General features: G+C 38.4%; 1 protein-coding gene across 21 annotated transcripts in view; it reads left to right on the top strand.

Moving 5' to 3' along the window:
* Positions 1-19,050, top strand: part of CATSPERT (catsper channel auxiliary subunit tau) — a 131,758-nt gene that overhangs the window by 96,488 nt on the left and 16,220 nt on the right. Inside the window, exons 1-2 of one of the 21 annotated variants that reach the window (XM_047443513.1) lie at positions 10,847-10,963; positions 11,063-11,374. The exons of 18 other annotated variants lie outside the window; for them this stretch is intronic. The gene's annotated coding sequence lies outside the window, so the exon portion shown is untranslated. Of the gene's footprint in view, positions 1-10,846; positions 11,375-19,050 lie in introns of those variants that run through there. 2 more of the 21 variants (XM_047443511.1, XM_024452727.2) reach the window with 2 other exon arrangements.

The following is a 19,050-nucleotide window of genomic DNA, read 5'->3' as shown; positions in this document are numbered from 1 at the left end:
AACTCTCCAAGCAGCTCTCCCTGCCAGCTCAAATGTCTGTGGGGGTCATGGGGTCACCTGCAGCTAGGATTCTGGAGATCCATGTTGAGAGTGGGCCACTCTATACCTATTTAACCTACCCTTTCCTTAGAAGCTGCTTGGGGCCAGGAATGAGTCCTTGTGCTTGGCAACCCCATGCAGGGTTCCCAGCTTCCTCCCACTTCAACCAGAGTCTGCATCCTCCCTCCATCCACTCTCAATGCCTTCCTTCCGAAGATCTGCTTGGAGTGTGCTGGTCTTCTTGATGATCTTATCTTGGTGAGGGAAGCTCTTCCTGGCTGTGTCTAGTTGGCCATCCTGGCTCCTCTTCCTGGATTTTTGTATGTTGATTGTATCCTTCATTTTTACTGAATTCATTGATCAGTTATAAGAGTTTTTGGTAGAGTCTTTACATTTTTCTATGTATAAGATCATGTCTCTGCAAACAGGGATAATTTGACGTCCTCCTTTCCAATTTGGATGTCCTTAATTTCTTTCTCTTGGCTAATTACTCTGGCTAGAACTTCCAGTACTATGTTGAATAAAAGTGGTTAGAGTGGGTGGTGGTGTCTTGTTCCAGTTCTTAGTTGAAAGTTTTTCCCCCATTCAGTATGATGTTAGCTGTGGGTTTGTCATGTATGGCCTTTATTGTATACTGAAGTGTATTAAATACATTGAATTGAGTATTGAGGTACTTTCCTTTTATACCTAATTAAGAGTTTTTATCATAAAGGGATGTTGAATTTTATCAAATCCTTTTTCTAATCTATTGAGATAATCATATGGTTTTTTTCGTTCTTTCTGTTTATATGATGTATCATGTTTAGTGATTTGCACATGCTGAACCATCCTTGAGTTCCTGGGATAAATCCCACTTGATCATGTTGTATTAATGGATTTGATTTGTTAGCATTTTGTTTAGGACTTTTGCATCTACATTAATCAGGGATATTGGCCTGTAGTTTTCTTTCTTTTTTTGTTGTGTCATTGTCTGCTTTTGGTATCAGGGTGATGCTGGTCTCATACAATGAGTTAGGAAGAGTGATATGGTTTGGATTTGCATCCCCACCCAAATGTAATGTCAAATTGGATAAGGGGACTTGTGGGAGATGATTGCATCATGGGGGAGGATTTCTCTCTTGCTGTTCTCATGATAGTGAGTGAGTTATCAGGAGATCTGATGGTTTAAAAGTGTGGGCACCTCTCTCTGTGTGTCTCTTTCTCTCTCTCTCTCTCTCTCTGTCTGTCTCTCTCTCCTGCCACCATGTGAAGAAGGTGCTTGCTTTTCCTCACCTTTTGCCATGATTGTAAGTTTCCTGAGGCCTCCCAGCCATGCTTCCTGTTAAGCCTGTGGAACTGTGAGTCAATTAAACCTCTTTTCTTCATAAATTACCCAGTCTCAGGTAGTTTTTTATAACAGTGTGAGAACAAACTAATACAAAGAGTTTTATCTGCTTCAATTTTTTGGAATAGTTTGAGAAGAATTGGTATTAATTCTTCTTTAAACTTTGGTAGAATTCAGATTAAGCAATTTGGTCCTGGACTTTTCTTTGTTAGGAGATGTTTTATTACTAATTCAGTCTCATTACTTCTTATTGGTCTGTTCAGACTTTCTATTTCTTCTTGGTTCAATCTTGGTAGGTTGTATGTTTCCAGGAATATATCCATTTCCTCTAGGTTTTCAAATTTATTGGTATATTCTTGTTCATGGTAGTCTCTAATGATTTTTTTTTTATTTCTGTGGTATCCATTTTGATGTCTCTTCTTCTGTTTCTTTTTTTTTTTTCTGAGACAGGATCTCTGTTGCCCAGACTGGAGTGCAGTGGCACGATCTTGACTCACCACGACCTTCACCTCCCAGACTCAAGCGATTCTCTTGCCTCAGCCTCCCTAGTAGCTTGGATTACAGGCATGCTCCACTACTGCCCAGATAATTTTTGTATGTTTAGTAGAGATGGGGTTTCACCATGTTGGCCAGGCTAGTCTCAAACTGCTGACCTCAAATGATCCACCCGCCTCAGCCTCCCAAAGTGCTGGGATTACAGGCATGAGCTACCGCACCTGACCCTCAATGAACTTTAATCCTTAATTTCTTTCTTCACGCAGTGGTTATTCAGGAATATGTTGTTTAATTTCCATGTATTTGTATTATTTTAAATGTTTATCTTACTGATTTCTACATTTATTCCATTGTGGTCAGATAAGAGACTAGATAAGATTTCAAATTTGAAAATTTTTTGAGACTTGTTTTGTGTCCTAACATATGGTCATTCCTGAAGAATGTTCTGTGCTCTGAAGAAAAGAATGTATTTTCTGCAGCTGTTAGGTGAAATGTACTGTAAATGTCTGTTAAGTCCCTTTGGTCTATGATGTAGTTTAAATCCAATGTTTCTTTTTGATTTTCTTTCTAGGGATGTCTCCAATGCTAATAGTGGATTGTTGAAGTCTCCATCTATTATCGTATTGGAGCCTATCCCTCTCTTTAGATCTAATAATATTTGCTTTATATATCTGGGTGCTGTGGTATTGGGTGCATATACATTTACAATTGTTATTTTCTTGCTGACTTGATCCTTTTGTTATTATTATATAATGTTCTTCATTGTTTCTTTTGACAGCTTTTTACTTGAAGTCTGTTTTGTCTGATATAGGTATAGCTATCCCTGCTTGCTTTTCGTTTCTGTTTGTGTGGAATATCTTTTTCTCTCTCTTTGCTTTCAAGTGTTTGACAGTGAAGTGATTCTATTTTAGGCAACATATATTTGCATCTTGTTATGTTTATCCATTCATCCAGTGTGTATTTTTAAAATCGGCATTTAATTCATTTATATTCAAGGTTATACTTGATAGGTGAAGACGTTTTTTGTCTGCCTGTGTTATTTCAAAGGACCTGTCTTCAAATTCAGAAATTTTTTATTCTGCTTGGTCTAGTCTGATGTTAAAGCTCTTGATTGTATTTTTTATTTCATTCATTTAATTCCTCATAGCATTCCTGTGGTTCTTTTTTTAATGACATCTATCTCTTTGTTGAAGTACTCATTCAAATCATGATTTTTCCCCTGATTTCATTGAATCCTCAATCTGTATTCTCTTGTATCTCAGTGTTTCCTTAAGATTATTATTTTGAATATTTTTCTGGAATTTTATATATTTCCTTATGCTAGGGGTCTGTTACTAGATAATTATCGTGTTCCTTTGTGTCATGTTTCCTTGCTTTTTCATGTTTGATATGTCTCTATGTAGATTTCACATATCTGGTGTAATAGTCACGTCTTTTGGGGAAGGTTTTGTAGGGAAAGACTTATTTGTTTAGATGGGTCTTGGGTGTTGGTTCAGCAGGGTACACTGGATTTGATTCTGGATGGACACAGTAGTATAGTCACCATGTAGTTTCTTCAGCTGTAATCTGTGCTTGTGTCATTTGCATCTCAGTGGCCTAGGTTGGGAGAGTTTATGGCAGTGGTGGTGCGGCTTTGCTGGTGGTGGGCAAAGTTTCTTCCTACCCCAGGAAGTAAGGAAAAGTCACCTAGATTCAGCTTATGGGATTTGGGCATAGTTCACAATGGAGAAGGGAACTAAACCTTCCAGGTGAGGCTCTTTAGGCCAATTTAACTGACCTAACAACAACTGTGGTTGTTCCTACATCTGAATGTATATGAGGAGTTATTGTGTTATATGCTGGATCATCTCCATTACATAAACATCAGAATGATTGGAAGAGTCATGTGTAAAGAAGTGCTAGTGTGACATACAAATTACTACTTGCCTGTCTCCATGTCCCCTTCCAGATGGCTCAATAAAAAAATTTGCAGAATCCTAGGAGGACAAAGGGAAACCATGGCCTTCATTAAGGACCTAAAGGCAGCAGAAAAATTAAGAAATGCATTATCTAAATACAACATTCCTGTATGGCCAGTAAAATTTGCTAATGGAGCTGGAGACTTACAGTGCATTATTACCAACTGAATTCATTTGTTGCCTCCATACCTTAGCTGTTCCAAACATTGCGACTTACTGAATCCATTCTACAGACAGCTGACTCTTGGTACTCTGTCTTGGACATTGTCAACACACCTTTCGTACACCACTGACACCTGAGGACTAAGATCAGTTTGTAAACATTTGTAGTACTCCCTTAAGGATACCTACTCATCTACCATTTTCCACCAGTGGGTGGGTTGGGATTTAGCCTGAATGCTTGTACCCTCTGATATCCACAAGTTTCACTGTATAGATGATGTCCTATTGGTTAGCAAGTCAAAAGCCTTAGTCTCAATAGTCATGAATGTGGTAGTTACCGTGTTTCCACTAGCAGCAGTGGCTCATAAGCCCTGACAAAATTAGGTGGACTGCTTACCAGATAAAGTTTATTGGGTCTATCTGGGCAGATTCATAATGGGCAGTCCTTTTGGCAGTCAAAGAAAAACTATTGCCTTTTTGCAGTCCCCCTACCTCCACCCCAACCACCATAAAATGAGGCCCAGCACCTTGACGGGCTCTGGGCACAGGATGTGGCATGTGCCTCACTATGGCCTTAATCTTGGCTAACCTACAGACTGGCATCCTTTTAATAGGGCCCAGTCCAACAGGCTGAGTTAGAAGCTGTCCAGCAAGCTTATGTCAGGGGCTCTGCAATCCTAATGACTTTTTTGAGCTATGAATCTGTACTGATTAGAGCCTCTGCCTGAAGACACCCTTTGGGGTTTTGGACTTGTTTCCCTCTGACATAGCTATCAGGTACACTCTTTTTGAAAAGTAGCTATTACCTTGAGTAACTAGTAGCAAGAGGTACTGAGCTCTTCTCAAAAGTGAACACTCTAGCTGAGGAGACCTTGTGACTCTTTGACTTTTTCCCATCTTGAGGTGGGTCAAGTTGGACTCAGCTACTAACAAGGTAGAAAGGGCCCAACAAGCCTCACTTGTAAAATGGAAATGGTAGATTCAAGAACACGGACATCCTGGCCCCAGCAGTATTTCATCTTTACAGTAAGAAGTGGCAGTTACCCCTTTGGGGGAAACCTTGGCCCCCACTCTGCCCTCTGAAGAAAATTGCTGGTTCAATAGGGCTTTACTATAAATAATATAGTCCTCTCTTTCTGACTTAGAAGTCTTCTGGCAGCATCTATAAAACTGTGGCAGGATAACTTGACAGCTTGTAAGTAGGGTAAAACCCTAGAATTTGCACTGTTTCTGCCAATTTTGACAATAAGAATGGGATGCTGACAGAGACATGGCTTTCTGGAAGAGGAAGGAAAAGAAAACCCTGCAGGCTGGGTTAGGGAATATGAGAAGATTCCTTGGATTTCGGTGGCAAATGCTCTCATCCAAGTGGTATGAGGCAGGGGTTGGGGAGGGGAAATGGCTAATAACGGTCTTCCCCTTGTCTTGCCTGTTAATGACTGTTCAGAGGCTGGGTTGTGACAGGCAGGATCGAAACCACCCAAACGGTGCTTTGTTTGTTGCTCACTCTCCCTTAGTGGTGGGGAGGTGGGGAAGAAGGGGATGACCTCAGCTGCTTTAAGGAAAAGGCCCAGTACATTGGGGAACTTCAGGCAGGGGAAGGACACAAAGTTTTATGGTTCTGTTAGACATAGGCACCAAAGGCTCCCAGGTAGAGCTATAGCAGCATGTGCCAGAAAGAAAAAATTCCCTGTGTCTGGGAGCTTTCCGGAGGCAGGGAGGTACACGGGAGGAGGTAGTACCAATCCTGACATGAGGTGAAATAGAAAAAAAAAAAAAAAAGCCTTCCTATTACTCCAGCTTTATCCCGTAGGTGAGGCCCTCTTGCTCCCTTGCTCTCCCTACGCACCTAGTCTGAAAATAAGGTTAAACTCCTGACAGCTGTTGGAGCATCTGTGCCCCACCCCTTCCCCGCCCACCCCCATACGCAGGTGAGTCTGTGTTCTGGTAGGGGGGAAAAAAAATCTCCACAAAAACCTGAAATCAATTAATATGGTTTAAGCAAAACTTACTGTGGGGAGAAAGTTAAAGTGATCTTATGCATAGGGCTCTCTGCCAATTCAATATATAGTCATGTGCCACATAATGACATTTTGGTCAACAGACCACATGATATGGTCTGGTTCTGTGCCCCCACCCAAATCTCATCTCGAATTATAATCCCCATATGTCAAGGGAGGGGCCTTGTGGGAGGCAATTGGATTATGGGAGCGATTTCCCCCGTGCTGTTCTCCTGATAGTGAGTGAGACCAGCTGGTTTAAAAGTGTGGCACTTCCCCTTCACTCACCCACTCTCTCCTGCTGCCTTGTAAAGAAGGTGCTTGCTTCTCTTTTTCCCCTCCACCTTGACTGTAAGTTTCCTGAGGCCTCCTCAACCATGCAGAACTGTGAGTCAATTAAACCTTTTTTCCTTGTAAATTACCCAGTCTCAGTTCTTTAGAGCAGTGTGAAAACAAACTAATACACTGAATATGTGACGGCAGTACCATAAGACCATAATATCATATTTTACTGTACCTTTTCTGTGTTTAGATACACAAATATTTACCATTGTGCTTCAACTGTCTACAGTATTTAGTCCAGTAACATGATGTACAGGTTTGTAGCCTAGTAGCAATAGGCTAGATCCTATAGCATAGGTGTGTAGTAGGCCACACCATCTAGGTTTATATAAGTACATACTATGATGCTTACACAATGACAAAATCATCTGATAACACGTTTCTCAGTGTATTCACATTGTTAATTGGCACATGAATACTGCTGTTATAGCATCTATTGTTAAGGGTGTGTAATGAAATCGATGTGTTACACACTTGTACTGTGAATGCTCATAAAGTGTCAAGGGAAATTTTCCCATTCAGGGCACTGCCACATGTAGAGGAGTCCTTGCCATTTGCCACAGGTGGGTGGATCCGGATTTAAGTGAGTGCCTCTGCCCTCTGTTATTACAATTTGATATGAGATTTGGGTGGGGACATAGAGACAAACAATATCATGTAGTCTGTTGTTGACCAAAAGGTCTTTATATGGCACATGACTATATATTGAATTGGCTGAGTGCCCTATGTGTAAGATCATGTTACCTTTCTCCCAGACAGTAAGTTTTGCTCAAAGATACAGGTGATGCCCTGTTGGTTGGCAAGTCAAAATCCTCAATTTCAGTGGCCCTGACTATGGTGTTATTACACCTCTACCAACAGGAGTGGCTGACAAACCCTGACAAATTCAAGGACCTGCTTGCCAGGTCAGGAGTTCGAGACCAGCCTGGCCAACATGGGGAAACTGTGTCTCTACTAAAAATACAAAAATTAGCCAGGCGTGGTGGTACACACCTGTGGTCCCAGCTACTCAGGAGGCTGAGGCAGGAGAATGGCTTGAACCTGGGAGACTGAGGCTGCAGTGAGCCGAGATTCCACCACTGTGCTCCAGCCTGGGCAACAGAGCAAGACTCTGTCTCAAAAAAAAAAAAAAAAAAAAAAAAAAAAAAAAAAAAAAAAAAAAAAAAAACTATGGGCAGATTCACAACACTCAATTCCTTTGGCAATCAAAGAAAAAACTATCTCTTTGATCCCCTACTAGTTTTTAATTTTTTTGAGTGTGAAAGACCATATGTACTTCACTTTGGGATTCTACTTAGTCCTTTATTTAGCATGCTTTGAAAGGGGCCTAAACCAACAGGCCTTGCTAGCCAAATGGTAATAGTGTGTTTAGGGGTGCATCTGACCTGGTCCTAGCATCATTTTGGTTTTGCAAAAAAAATTGGCAGCCATTAATTTAGGCAATACATTTTTCTTTATTCTGCCACCAAAAACAAAGCCACTGGTTCAGTTGGGGCCCTGGATTCACAGTTTCCCCTAAATATCTGGACCAGGTTCACAGATGGTTCAGCAGATGAAACCTGATGGTATCAGCTGGGCCACTATGGCTGTTTAGCCCAAGGGCCAGCTATGCAGATCCAAAAATTGATTTCATTATTTCACTTAGTGGGCAGAATTCTGGCCAATACTCTTCCTAGAGAAACTTATACCCAATTTTATGTGGACAGTTCAATGAGTTTTGACAAATGTGTATTTTTGTGTAATCGTCACCCATTATCAAGAACTAGAATGTTTCCATCACTACACCATTATGTTTGATGTTAGTTATAGGGTTTTCATAGACATTCTTCATTAGGTTTAAGAAAGTCTCTTCTAGTCCTAGTTTGCTGAGAGATTTGATGAATAATAGGTGCTGGATTTTGTCAGATGCTGTTTCTGAAATTACTGATATGATCATATGTTTTTTAGTATATTAGTATAATAAAATATTAATGCACAGATATTTTTATTGTTAAACCAACTTTACGTTCCTAGGATCAACCCTACTTGGTTATAATGTATTTATCCTTTTCATATATTGTTGGGTTCATTTGCTAAATTTTATGAGAAGTTTTTCACACATAGTCATGAGAAATATAGGTCTGTAGCTTTCTTGTAATGTTGTTACTAGTTTTGGTAAAGTTGGTATTGTAGAATGAGTTGGGAAATATTCTCCCCCCTTCAGTATTCTAGAAGAATTTATGAATAATTTGTTCTTCTTTTGCTATTTTCTTAAGGTGGAGCCTGAGGTAAACAATTTGAGATATTTCTTTTTTATTACATATATTATTATAAATTTCTAAGTACTGCTTTAAATTTATCCCATAAATATTGACTTATGTTTTTATTTTCATTCAGTTCAAAACACATTCTTATTTATCTTTCGATTTGTTCTTTGATGGATCGGTTACTCAGAAATGTCTTTAGTTTCCTAACATTTGAAGATTTTCTAGAAATGACTGTAATTTAATTCTACTTGGTCAGAAAACATATCTATGATTTGAATCCTTTAAAACTGAAACTGTTTTATAGCCTACAATTTTGTATATTTTGGCCTCCAGCTGCATCCATGTTGCTGCAAAGGACATGATTTCATTTTGTTACGGCTACATAGTATTCCATAGTGTGTATGTACCACATTTTCTTTATCCAGTCCATTGTTGATGGGCACCTAGGTTGACTCCATGTCTTTGCTATTGTGAATGGTGCTGCAATGAACATACAAATGCATATGTCTTTTTGGTAGAACAATTTATTTTTCTTTGGATATATAACTGGTAATGGGACTGCTGGCTGAAATTGTAGTTCTATTTTCAGTTCTTTGAGAAATTCCTAAAGTGCTTTCCACAGCGGCTGAACTAATTTACATTCCCACTAATAGTGTGTAAGCATTCTCTTTTCTCTGCAGCCTTGCCAACATCTATTGTTTTCTGACATTTTAATAATAGCCATTCTGACTGGTGTAAGATGGTGTCTCATTGTGGCTTTGATTTGCATTTCTCTGATGATTAGTGATGCTGAGCATTTTTAAATATGTTTGCTGCTTGTATGTCTTCTTTTGAGAAGTGTCTATTCATGTCTTTTCCTCACTTTTTATGAGATTGTTTTTTGTTTGTTCAATTGTTTACATTCCTTATAGGTTGTGGATATTAGTCCTTTGTCAGACTCGTAGTTTGTGAATATTTTCTCCCATTCCGTAGGTTGTCTGTTTACTCTGTTGATAGTTTCTTTTTTTTATTTTTTTATTTTTCTTTTTTTTTATTTTATTATTATTATACTTTAAGTTTTAGGGTACATGTGCACAATGTGCAGGTTAGTTACATATGTATACATGTGCCATGCTGGTGTGCTGCACCCATTAAATCATCATTTAGCTTTAGGTATATCTCCTAAAGCTATCCCTCCCTCCTCCCCCCACCCCACAACAGTCCCCAGAGTGTGATGTTCCCCTTCCTGTGTCCATGTGTTCTCCTAGTAAACCATCTTGCCTTTTATTCAGTTTCTTTAAAAAAACTATACATGCAACTACCCTATGACCCACCAATTGCACTCTTGAGCATTTATTCCAGGGAAATTAAGACTTACATGTTCATAAAAATACCTATATACAATGTTCATAGCAGCCTTATTCATAATAGCTCCAAACTGGAACACAACCCAGATGTCCTTTAACTGGTGAATAAACTTTGGTACATCCATACAATGGAATAATACTCAGCAATAAAAAGGAATAAACTATTTATATATACAACAACCTGGATGAATTTTTAGAGATTTATGCTGAGTAAAAAAAAGACAATCCCAAAATGTTACACACTGTATGATTCCATTTATATAACATTCTTGAAATGACAAAATTATAAAAAATGAACAGATTAGTGGTTACCAGACATTAATAGGGGATGGGGGCAGGAAGGAAATGGTGAGATTATAAAAGGATATTAGAGGTCCTTGTGGAAATGTCTAGGTCTTAACTGTATAATGTCAATATCCTGGTTGTGAAATTGTACTACAGTTTTGAAAGATGTTACTATTGAAGAAAGCTGAATAAGGAAGAGAACATGAGCTCTCTCTGTTATTTCTTACAACTGCACATTAATTTACATTTATTTCAAAATAAAAAGCTTAACTTTTAAAAAGAAAGATCATTGTCAAATATTTTAACGAAAAAGAAAACTTACCTAAGATGTTTTTCTTAGGAGTGGTAGTCAGAGCCATACCCAACATATAAAACAAAATTAAATTGAAAAAGATAAATTGGGTTTGTAACCCACTAAACATATATTCCAGTATATACAATCAACAGACTTAAAAGATTGAATCTATCACCTAGGGCAACAGACTTGTAAACTGAAGACATCTCAGAGTTCTAGAACAAATTTCTGAAAGTCCAAGTTAATTGCTTCACAAACAAGTCACAAAATCTTTAGAATTCTGTGGGAAAACAATCTTCGGAGTTGTTTGAAGTTAAAAGAAGAGTTTTTTTTTTTTTTTTTTTTTTTTTTTTAATGAGCCAAGGTAGACAGTGTGTTATAGAAATGCAGTATTTTGAGGCAAACTTCTGGAGTACTAAATCTGAATTGGAAAGGACTGATAACATCTCTTTCAACTCATAGCTGATTCAGGTGACAGTCTTTCAATAGTTCCTTCACATTTTTAGAGCCCGTTCATAAATTAAGCCTTTCAAGATATAGCTTAATTAGCTTTTACTTAAACCCTGACAGTGACTGGACCCTAAATCATTTCCCCAAAAGTCAGGATGAAAAAAAGGTGAGGAGAGATGGGGAAATTAATTTTACTTAGCAATGAAAGGTAGCGTTTGGTGGTAGTAAGAGAACTCGTATGATACAGTAAAAAGACCTTGGATTTTACAGGCAGAAATATTTAGGTTTAAATCCAGATTCTTCCATGGTCCTATAACTTTGGGCAGTTTACATCTGAGTTTCAGTTTTCTCATCTGCAAAATGAGTATACTACCTATCACCTCTTTCAAAGAATTTTAAAGGGCTTGGAACATAATAGACACTTGCTAAACGGTAAGTATTAACTTTACTCACCTGTGTAAGTATAGGATAAGTACGAAAAGTAGAATCGTTGGATCAGAGGGTACAAGCGTATTTATTTTGATACTGCCAGATTATGCTTTAAAATAGATATGCTAATTTGCATTTGCATCAAAACGCTAGAAAGTACTCATCCCACACTCACATTTTCGTTTTTAAGAATTTGATGCACAAAATAATAGTCCACTGATACTTTAATTTGCATTTTCCTGATTATTAATGAGTGAACAATTTTCATGTGTTTATTATCTATTTGTAGTTCTGTTATTTGTTTATAATCTCTGCCCATATTTACAAGTCGGGTTGTGTTTGCTTACTTACATGTGAAAATGCTTTATATGTTTTGGATAACAATACATTATCTATGCTGTTTGCTATTTATGTTTTTTAACTTCTTTGAGGTCAAAGGTATTTTTAAACATCTATGTGGTCAAATTCAACACCTTTTCCTTTTTGGCTGTTGGTTTATATCTTGTTTAGAAGGTCCTTAGGTTATGTCAGTATTCTCCTATATGTTTTTCTAGTACTTTTATAGCATATGGTTTTTATGTTTAACTATTTAATCTATCTATGATTTTTTTTAATATGACGTAAGAACTTACCAATATCTTTGCTGAAATGGATAGGCAATTGTCTCAATGCAATTTATTACCTTTTCCCTATAGTCAACTTATTCTTGTCTGTCAGCATCCCTTCCTGAGGGTTTCACCCCTGTCCCAGCCCCAATCCCTAGTGTGGTTAGCAGTCTTGACACTGCCTCAGAGGCTACAAGGATGAGCATATAATTTAATTAAAAATATTAAGACAGGGTGTTCTTATTCTTTTATTTTTATTTATTTATTTATTGAGACAGTGTCTTGCTTTGTCACCTAGGCTGGAGTGCAGTGGTGCAACCTTGGCTCACTGCAACCTCCTCCTCCCAGGTTCAGGCAATTCTCGTGCCTCAGCCTCCCGAGTAGCTGGGACTATAGGCGCACACCACCACACCTGGCTAATTGTTGTATTTTTAGTAGAGACAGGGTTACACCATGTTGGCCAGGCTGGTCTTGAACTCCTGACCTCAGGTGATCAGCCCACCTTGGCCTCCCAAATGATTACAGGTGTGAGCCACATCCCCGACCCCTTATTCTTTTAAACCAAGAGCTAGCAGTGGTAATTTCCTACCAGATGAAGAGAGAATGCCTGTAAAAGCCAACATGGAGAGAGAGTGTCCTGATCACATTAAGTCCCTGGAGCCAGCCATGCCCATCCCTTAGAATTCCTAGTTAAATGAGCCACTGTATTTCCTATTTAAAATAAAGTATATTATTTCTAAGGCAAACTTCATAAAATGCAGCGATATCTTTAAAATTAAATGTATATATTATATATTAGGGTTGATTGTACTTAAAGGTTACCCCATTTGGGGAGTAAGGAATGGAAGGAGAGAACAGTTGTGATCTAAAACTTGGGAGAGTGCCTGGTTTATAATAGCTGCTCCATATTTTTGTTAAATAATTACTTAATAAGTGAATGAATGACAAATAGATTCATTTAAAAATTAACAAATATTTTGAGAAGAAAAATAAGATAGTAAAATTTCTAAGCATGAAAATAATGAAAAGTAAATAATTGTTTTTAATCACATAATTTACTATGTAAAATAACACTATTTGGAGTTTCCACTTAAGTGACAAATAGAACATGGTTTTAGTATAGATATCTTATCTCTTTTCATGAGAAAACTGGTAAAGTCTTTATCCAGAAGTGGTTTGAGGGGTCTAAGTTTCAGAGCATTTAAAACTGAATGTAAAAATAGACAAGTGGGACTACATCAAACTTAAAAACTTCTTGCATCAAGGAAACAATAGAGTAAAAAGGTAATCCATGGAATGGTAGCGAACATTTGCAAATCATATATCTGATAAGGGGTTAATATCCAGAATATATAAGGAACTTCTACAACTCAACACCAACAAAAAACAACACAGTTAAAAAATGGAGAGTTCTCCAAAGAAGCTATACAAATGGCCAATAAGCATATGAAAAGATGCTCAACATTACAAATCATAAGACAAATGCCAATCAAAACCACAGTGAATTATCACCTCCCACCCACTGGGATGGCCTCTATCAAAAGAAAAGAAAATAACGTGTTGGTGAGGATGTGGAGAAATTGGAACCCTTGTGCACTGTTGGTGGAAATGTAAAATGATGCAGCCACTATGGAAAACAACATGGAGGTGCCTCAAAATATTAAAAATAGAATTATCATGTGATCCTATTTCTGATACATAGATACATACCTATTTCTGGGTATATATCTAAAAGAATTCAAAACAGGACCTTGAAGAAATTTCGCACACCCATGTTTACTGCAACATTATTCACAATACCCAAGAGGTAGAAACATCACAGATATCCTTAGATGAACAGATAAGGAAACTGTGGTATATAAATACAATGGAATGTTATTCAACCTTAAAAAAAAAAAAGAAATCTCGTCACATGCTAGAGCATGGATGAACTTTGAGGAATTATGCTAAGTGAAATGAGCCCATCACGAAAGGACAAATACTTCACAATGCCACTGGAGTGGAGATTATGAGTGCGATCATGGCTCACTGCAGCCTCAAACTCTGAGGCTCAAGCCATCCTTCCACCTCGGCCTCCCAAAGTGCTAGGATTATAGGCATGGGCCGCCACACCCAGCTGGGTTTCAGTTTTGCCAGATGAACAAATTTTTGAGATCTGTTGCACAACAATGTGAATATACTTAACACTATTGAACTGTACATTTAAAAAATGGTTAACATTGTAAAATTAATGTTATGTGCTTTTTACCACAATAAAAAATAAAATGGAAAAAAACCACAATTGTAGGAAATGCAGTCTGTCTTTCTGTAATTACTTCAAGTTTGAACTTTGACATCTTCATTTATATAATTTTTAAGTCAACTAATTTAAATAATTAACTGCATTTAGTACTTTAAACAGTTTCTTGTACCTATAAAATTAGAAAATTCCTGCCTTTGGCACCCTTTGACTATGTCATATTGTCCTATAGTTCTCTCAGTTTACATAAAAGGCTTTTATTCTTTGGAGCAAGATAATAAATCTATTTGTGTCAGCCCAGATACATTTATTCTTAAACTTATGTTAGTTTCTATAATTTGCAAATGAGTCTTGACTATATAGCTCATCTTTTCCTGCTGCTTTGAAATTCAACATTTATCCTATGCTAATTTAACATGTGATGTGGTTTGATTTTGTGTCCCACCCAAATCTCATCTTGAATTGTAATCCCCACGTCGGGGGAGGGGCTTGGTGGGAGGTGACTGAATCATGGCGGTGGACTTCCCCCTTGTTCTGGTGACAGTGAGTGAGTTCTCACAAGATCTGGTTGTTTGAAAGTGTGTGACACTTCCCCCTTTGCTTGCTCTCTCTCCTGCCACCATGTGAAGAAGGCCTTGCTTCCCCTTCACCTCCCACCATGATTCGAAGTTTCCTGAGGCCCCCCCAGTCATGCTTCCTGTTAAGTCTGTGGAACTGTGAGTCAATTAAACCTCTTTTCTTCATAAATTACCCAGTTTCAGGTAGTTCTTTATAGTTGTGTGCAAATGGACTAATACAACATGCTAATTATTATATGCTAATTTCCTTATGTACATGAGCTGTTTCAGTATTCTGTTCCATTAATTTTGCCTATTTCTATGACATTACTATACAACATTACTTACTATAACTTTAAATTCATTTAATATTGGCAGGGAACACACATATCTGCTTTTTCATCATTTTCTTGGTAATTCTTATAAATTCTTATTGATGAAGTATTAGAATCATCTTGGCAAGTTCTATAACTCTGAGATTTTAATTGGGGTTGCATTGAATTATAGATTGGTATAGTTTGATATATTTACAAAATTTGCATCCAGGAAAATTCAGTAACCTCTATTTTCTTTATTAATATTTCATAGCTCCTGTTCATTTCTTATTAGATTGATTCTTTAGTATTGGATAGTTTCTGATGTAAACGTGAATGGGATCTTTTTAAGATTATATTTTTCAGGCAATATTTGGACATAGTGTTATATAATACCGTGTATATATTTGTATGTTGATTTTATATTGGTTCACTTTGCTAAACTCTGTTATTCTTAATTTTTCAGTTCTCTTGAATTTTTTTAAAGATAAGTGATCATGTCATCCATTAAGCACAGTTTTGTTTCCTGACTTCTAATATTTCTACCTGTTGTTTCTTTTTCTAATCTTGGCTAAACTATTAAGCAGTATTGGACAGCAGCAGTAAGAAAAGGCATTCTTGTTACAGATTCTGATGAATATTCTATTAGTGTCTCAATTTTAAGTGCAATGCATGAGGTAGGAAAGCACTTTTTTAATCCTATTCCTAGTTTGTTAGAAGATTTATTTGAAAATCAAGAATAAGGTTGATTGGGCTGGGCGCGGTGGCTCACGCCTGTAATCCCTAAACTTTGGGAAGCTGGGACAGGGGGATCACGACATCAGGAGATCGAGACCATCCCGGCTAACACGGTGAAACCACATCTCTACTAAAAATACAAAAAATTAGCCAGGCATGGTGGCAGGCACCTGTAGTCCCAGCTACTCGGGAGGCTGAGGCAGGAGAATCGCTTGAACCCAGAAGGCAGAGGTTGCAGTGAGCCGAGGTCAGGCCAGTGCACTCCAGTCTGGATGACAGAGCAAGACTCCGTCTCAAAAACAAAACAAAATGAAAAAGAATGGGGTTAATTTTTATCAAATGCTGACCCCTGTGGAGGAAATTACACAATTTGTCTCTTATAATTTGTTTATATAATGAATTACATGAATAGATTTTCTAATGTTGAACCATCTTTGTATTCCCATATAATTCCTCCTGGGTTATACTACACAGAATTTGCTATAACTTATTTAGGAATTTTGTACATCTATTCATAATGAGATTGACCTAAAAATTTGGCATCATTTATCTGTAAATGTTGACTTGGTGTTTTGTTTGTTTGTTTGTTTGTTTGTTTTTGAGACGGAGTCTCGCTCTGTCGCCCAGGCTGGAGTGCAGTGGCGCAATCTCGGCTCACTGCAACCTCCGCCTCCCGGGTTCGCGCCATTCTCCTGCCTCAGCCTCCCGAGTAGCTGGGACTACAGGCGCCTGCCACCGCCCCCAGCTAATTTTTTGTATTTTTAGTAGAGACGGGGTTTCACCATGTTAGCCAGGATGGTCTCGATCTCCTGACCTTGTGATCCACCAGCCTCGGCCTCCCAAAGTGCTCGGATTACAGGTGTGAGCCACTGCGCCCGGCCGGCTTTGTGCTTTTTTATAAGTAGATTAGTTTTTTAAAATAACCTTTTAATTTTGGAATAACTGTAGATTTACAGAACACTTGTAAAGATATTAGAGAGTTCCTATATACCCCTCATCCACTTTCTTCCATTGTTAACATCTTACATTACCATAGTACATTTGCCAAAACTAAGAAACCAACATTAGTACGTTACTATTACCTAAATCCAGACTGAATTTGTCCAATTTTTCCATTAATATACTCTTTGTGTCTCAAGATTCAGTACAGAGTACTACATTGCATTTTGTTGTCATGACTCTCCAGTTTCCTCTGGTTTTTGACAGTTTTTCTGATTTTCCTTGTTTTGTTGTTGTTGTTGTTGTTTTTAACATGACTTTGACAATCTTGATGAGCACTAGCCAGGTATCCTGCAGAATGTCCCCAATCTGTGTTTGTCTGATGTTTTTTCCATTATTATGTTTGCATTCTGAGTTTTTGGAAAAAATACATCAGTGGTGAAGTGCCCTTCTCAGTGCATCCTATCAGAGATTGATGATAGCACAGGATGACACTAGGGAAAAAGGCAGCATATGACTGATTGCTTAGAAAAGTGAACCTTCTGGGGGCCGGGTGCAGTGGCTCACACCTGTAATCCCAGCACTTTGGGAGGCCGAGGTGGGCAGATCACTTGAGGTCAGGAGTTCGAGACCAGCCTGGCCAACGTGGTGAAACCTCCTCTACTAAAAATACAAAAATTAGCCAGACATGATGGTGTGCACCTGTAGTTACAACTACAAGAATCACTTGAACCCAGGGGGTGGAGGTTGCAGTGAACTGAGATTGTGCCACTGCACTCCAGCCTGGGCAACAGAGAGATACTTCATCTCAAACAAAACAAAACAAAAAAAAAAGTGAACCATTTGGGGAGCCCCCAGCTAAATTGGTGTTCCAGTACCAGGGTGACTAGTAACCCTACCCTAGCAGGAAATGAAGGAGAACTGGATATGGGTGTTTACAGTGTGCCTTCACAGAATATTTCTTTTACCTGGCAGATGGCCTAATGCCTAGTAATCTGAGACCAGGGGGTCCTTTACACAGGAAACTTGTTTATACTAGCAGATGCCCTTTATCTCTTCTCTGACTTGTGTCCACTTTATTTCTCCTGACCAGTACACTGGCACTAGGAACCTTACCTTATGTTCCCTCCAGCATCCCAGGGAAAACCTGGCATGGAATAGCCCCTAGTTCTTCAGATGGAAGGTGCAAATTTTGCATACCACCACAATAGGAAACAAGTTCAAAGATTTTTTACTTATAGATCCTGGGCAAGGAGGGCACAGTGAGTCAGGAGGGCAGTCCGTCAGTCCCTGGGTCATGAGAAGCAGGAATGAAAAGTCAGACAGAGAGAGAGAGAAGAGCATGTGACAGAGAATAGGGCATGGGTCACTTTAAGTTTGTGGGTAAATTCCTGAATGGTCCATTTAAAGGAAGTGGTGCGAAAGCAGGGAACTCAGTCTGCCAGGTAGGAGAGATGCCTCTGAGTTCTAATCTCTGGCCGCCATCTTGAGCTATTTGGGCATGGTATAGAATTGAAAACTGTGTCAAGAGTGACCAAGCTCTATTTCTGGTATGAGAAATTTAAACTTGTATTCAAAATGGATGTCAAGGCAACATAAAATTGAAGAGTTCACTACAGGGACAAAGTGAGCCTTATAATTGTACTAGTTTACTGCCTGAAGGCAGCAGCACAGGAGCGGGAAGCCAAACAGAACTTGGAGATCTCATTGGGTTGAGGAGATAGAGTCTGAAATTTAGCAGACAGAGGCGAACTGGTAGGGTACCAGAAGAGAAAAAACTACAGCAGCAAGAAAGCTCCAGATAACTGTAAAGAAGTTCCTCTGGAGTCTTTGGCTGAATACTGATCTAAGCAGAAAATTACTGAAAGCAAGGAAAAGAACCACTGGAAAGATAAGGTAGAAAATTATAGGTACTCACACAGGACTTCCAATAATTCCATATTCTCATCAGCCAGAGTGGAAAGACTCATAACACATGAGAGTAAGTAGAATCCTTAGAAGGGTATCACCTTTGTAGAGAGGCTAAATCAGCCCCTTCTAAAGCTCCACTAAAAGTTTCTCTAGACAACCTTCTATGCAATAAATCTTAAAAGAACCCAACTAATTCCAAGTAATTTAAATGTGCATAAGAGCAAATTCAAAACGATTTAAAAGAAAGAAAAAAAAATTTATCAATCAACAACATAAAATCCACAATTCCTAACATTCAATACAATGTTACCAGGTGTTCGGCCAGGCACAGTGGCTCACACCTGCAATCCCAGGACTTTGGGAGGCTGAGGTAGGA

The sequence above is a fragment of the Homo sapiens genome, chromosome 2 (assembly GCF_000001405.40).
Source record: "Homo sapiens chromosome 2, GRCh38.p14 Primary Assembly".
Lineage (NCBI taxonomy): Eukaryota > Metazoa > Chordata > Mammalia > Primates > Hominidae > Homo > Homo sapiens.
The sequence above is the reverse complement of the archived record's forward strand: the minus strand, read 5'-3'. Positions and strand labels throughout refer to the sequence as shown.